The following is a 4,747-nucleotide window of genomic DNA, read 5'->3' as shown; positions in this document are numbered from 1 at the left end:
ATGATCCCAGCATTCCTGTCTTCACCCTCAGAAGACAGATTATGCTTTTCGATAATTACAAATTATGCTTTTTGATTTATTCTTGGACAAGTTCTCATAACAAGTAGCGAATGCTCTGTCCCCTTCTGAGGGCTCTCCAGATTGTTGTAGATGAGATATCATTAGTGATCCATTCATTCACTATGTGAATGATGCTCCAGTGTTTTCACAGCACGTCAGATTATGGATGAATTTCTGAGCATCATTTCCAGCCTGAGTATACATGTGAACTCATAGTCTGCCACAATCTGGGTGATGTCTTCTGCCTTCCACAAATTGGGAATACCAAAGGACTCCAATAATCTGTCCCACACAACAGCTTGACCTTTGTTGTACCTTTTGTTTTGGACTCCAGGGATTTCTTTCAACTAGAATCCTGTCTTTGTTCAGTCCACTTCCTCTTTTGTCCAGGCCTTTCTAGCGTACGCAAGTTCTGCTGGTTATCACAGTTACTAGCCTCCAGTTTCTCCTGATGGTGTATAAGCACCTTAACAGTTTCTATCTGCTCCTTTTGAAGACTTTTTATGTATCAACTTCCACCCATTTGGCATTCTTGGTGGGAAGTTTTGACCTGATGACCCAGTGACGGGCAGGAATGAGTCCATTCTCCTGGTATTGCCAACAGGAGAGATTATGTCTTTGACAACTCTGTATCTTCCTGTTCCACTTGTAGTCCTTGGCCAGCTCAAACAACCTGAGGTGCATGTTGGTGATAGGATTAAAAGAACCACAAGCAAGGAGAACCACTTCAGACTTCTCTGAATTTTCCATGGTAAGAAGTTGAAGTTGTTGATTTCATTAGAAAACTGTAATGCCTCCCTTGTCTTTTCCATGCTTCTGGATTTGACGCCTTCCCTCAAGGCATGTCCAGATGCAGGGTTTTCCTTAAAGACCCTCTCAGCCTCACTAGGAAAAAAACCTTAGAAAGGCTGTGGTAGGCTCAGTCAAGGGAGAAAATGTTTCCTCAATCTTTACAGTTGCTATTCTTTGGATGGGGCCTTTTGCTTTTATTTTCTTTGATGCCCTTGAGAATTTGCCCGTGGTATAATTTGGGTTCAGTTGACTGGCTTCATTTCTGGATGATTTCAGGGGGACAAGGCTCAGCTCAGCACTCCTGAGCCATGTGCTCTAACCCTGGGGGCTGGAACAAGGCCCACAGCTTTGTTCTGTGGCCTGTCAAGGTTAAATACCTGGTGTGCCAGAGGGGCTGAGGTGTTCCTGGTTTGCTGGCAACAACACTCCAATGGGAGGTGCTGGCAAAATCACTTCACTGGAGTAGTGGCAGAGCAGTTTGTGCATGTGCACTGGTGGCAGTGGGATGGTAAAGTCCACCCATGCATGCTGGCAAAGCAGTGGGAGGAGGGTTCACTTGGGTGCATACTGACAGGGGCCAGTCTGAAGAAGCTCTTCTACAGATAGGCGGGGTCTGCCAGCAAAAAGGCTATGGCAGTGGCCACTGCGATGCACCCTGGTTGGGCATCCGAGGCTGCACTGCCAGTGGCACAGTGCAGGCAAGTGGGCACAGCCAGGCAGGGACCTCGAGAGAGATTGGCAGACAGGGTGGCACTCAGATCAGAGTGGCCCTGTCTTCTGGGCAAGAGAGCCCTGCTCTGTCCAGCTCCAACAGTCAACAAAGGCCAAACCTTCTTGAGGAATGTGGCAGGCCTTGGGGGATTGGCACTCCTGGTCATGCTCCACTGCAGCCATTCCTATGCGAACGTTTCTGGGCTCCACACAGGTTGGAATCCTGCCCCTGTCAACTCTACAAGCAGCTCTCTCTGCCAGCTCAAATGTTTGTGGGGGTCATGGGATCTCCTGCAGCTAGCATTCTGGGGTCCATGGTGAGAGTAGGCCACTCCATGCCTACTTAAATAATCCCTTCCCCAGGAGCCACTGGGGGCCAGGAATGAGTCCTGGTGCTTGACAACCTAATTGAGAGTTCTCAACTTCCTCCCCCTTCAGCCTAATTTCTGCATCCTCCCTTCATCCACTCTCAATGCCTACCTTCTAAAGATCTGCTTGGGCTGTGCTGTCTTCTTGATGGCCTGCCTGGTTTTTCAGTGGGAGATACTCTTCCTGGCTGCATCTAATCAGCCATCTTGACTCTCCTCCTTTGCTTACAATGAATTTTGTACTTTCATGTGTTTTTATGTTGTTAGTGTCCTTTTGTTTCAAGTTGAAAAACTTTCTTTAACATTTCTTTTAAGGGAGTTCTAGTGGTAATGAACTCCCACAGTTTTTGTTGGTCTAGAAAAGTCTTTATCTCTCTTTCATTGCTAAAAGATAGTTTCACCGAGTATAGTATTCTTGGTTGACAAAGTCCCTCCCCCACCCGCTAGCCATCACTTTAAATATATCATCCCAAGCTCTCCTAGCCTACCAGGTTTCTGCTGTGAAATCTGCTGATAGCCTTTGGAGGTTTCCTTGTGTATAAATGAGTCACTTTCTTCTTGCTACTTTCAAAATGATCTGAAATTCTAGAATGGAAGCAGGGGGTGCATACTTAAACATCAGAAATAAGGTGGGGAAACTCAGTTTAATGGTCATCAAGGCCCACTATTACTTGAGCTGTATAATAAAATATTAAGCATGAAACCTTCTAGGCCTACCTCTTTCCTAGCAATGGATTTCTTTTCTTTTCTTTTTCTTTTTCTTTTTCTTTTTGTTTTTTGAGATGGAGTTTTTGCTCTGTTGCCCAGGCTGGAGTGCAATGGTGTGATCTCAGCTCAGTGCAAACTCCATCTCCTGGGATCGAGTGATTCTCCTGACTCAGCCTCCTCAGTAGCTGGGATTACAGGTGCCCGCCACTGCACCCAGCTAATTTTTGTATTTTTAGTAGAGACAAGGTTTCACCATGTTGGCCAGGCTGGTCTCGAACTCTTGATCTCAGGTGATCCACCTGCCTCGGCCTCCCAAAGTACTGGGATTACAGGCATGAGCCTCTGCATCAGGCCTAGCAATGGATTTCTTTTACTGAGTCACTTGCACTTTGGTTCCAATAATGACTTATAATTTCCCTGTGTTGTGAGATATGACAGTGGTTTGGCACACACAGAATTAAGATTATTGTCATCTCTGTGTCTAGGTTTATGAGCAAGACCCTTTGGCTAGCTCATGGGAGCCTTGAGAAATGGGAATTAGACAAGGCTCAGTGGAAGAATGAAAGCTGTTGTCACTATGGAACCATCTTGTATATTTATTCTTCCTGTTTGCTAATTATATTTTGTTTTCCTTTTCATAGCCTCTATGACAAACTCATGACCCTGTTGCTTTGCATTAAAAACTCTGAGCCTTTTTTTTTTGTGGTTCACTGAGTTCACAGGCACTGTCTGAGTGGCACCAAGCATTAAATTTATCTGAGCAATTCATTGGGCTTTTTGTCTATGAGACTACCAGAAAATTTAGCAAAGCAAAAAACAAACAAACAAACAAACAAACAAAAAAAACACATCATTAACTGATGCCTATAGACTATTCTCTTGCTCAATAAATAACATTGAGCTCAAGTCAATATGGCTGCTACAGACCTAGTCCATGATATACCCCAAAACTGAAATTATCGGAGCTAAATGGAAAGAATCTGGATATGAAAATTTGGGGCAGGTATTTGAAGCTGGACTCAACTACTAATGGTAGAAAAAACAACCAGGCAAGTAAATCTTGGTGTCCAAAAAGCACAGTGATAGATTATTTCTGAACCTTGCCCATCCTATTGGGAGTACAGAGGCACCTGGTACTATCTTTATGGGGTGTTGAGTGTCATTGTCTGAGACTGAGAATGCAGAACAATGGGTGTATGAATGCTGAGGAAGTCAGAAAGATTACCAGGTCTTAAAAGCAAGAGGAAAAGCTCAGTTGGGATATGGAAGTAGGAGTTCAGAGTTTGAGGGAGAAGGTTCAGTAAGAGCAAAATAAGAAAAATGGAGTGGAGCATGAGAAACTTACATTTAACATCCAGGGAGAGTAGGAGTCATTCCACCATTGTCCTGCTGGCAGCTGGATTAAAGATCAAGGAATTTGAGGGCAGCGGACGAAGAGTAGTTGGTGAGCAGATATTATTGCCTCAACCTTGGGTTCTGTCTTCAGAGGTAGGGCTTCAATTTTTGAAGAGAATTTCTGGGATCTATGTATAGTTTTTTTTTGGAGTAAATGAGGGAAATAGGATGCTGGAGTAGGGTTTCAGCCACAGTGAAATTATGGAAGTTCAAAGCTTGGATACGGGATACTTTTTCTTTTTCTTTTCAAACTCAAGTTTTTGAAAAGCAGAAATGTTTTCACAAAAATCACAGTATTCTAGATACCAAAACCAGCATAATAATTTCAATTACAAATTCATTACTTACTAAAGTTCATTAAGTCTTCCTGTGGAATAGAATAGATTCCAAGACCTGGGGTATAATTGGACAGAGGTATTCCCAGCAATGTATGGTGGAGATTGCTAGACAGTTCAGAACAGTTTATACAAGAACCATAATCAAATGGGAAACAAATAATTGATGGGCACCCACTATACACAAAGAACTAGTCATTGAAAAAATCAGGTATGTAAATGTGTGTATGTGCATGTGTGTGTGTATATGCATGTACGTTTATGTGTTTGTGTGCATGTGTGTGTTTGCCTGGGAGGTGAGGGATAAGATGCAAAAAATAAGACATATAAAACTTGGCACAGCTTTTGTTTAGCTCTAAATCTGGTTGAGAAAATAAG

At 43.3% G+C, this 4,747-nt stretch overlaps 1 pseudogene; it reads right to left on the bottom strand.

The window, feature by feature from the left end:
• Window positions 374-863, bottom strand: NMNAT1P2 (NMNAT1 pseudogene 2; annotated as a pseudogene).

Source organism: Homo sapiens, chromosome 1 (assembly GCF_000001405.40).
Source record: "Homo sapiens chromosome 1, GRCh38.p14 Primary Assembly".
In the NCBI taxonomy this organism is placed as follows: Eukaryota; Metazoa; Chordata; class Mammalia; order Primates; family Hominidae; genus Homo; species Homo sapiens.
Note: the sequence above shows the minus strand (reverse complement) of the source record. Positions and strands in the feature narration are given on the sequence as shown.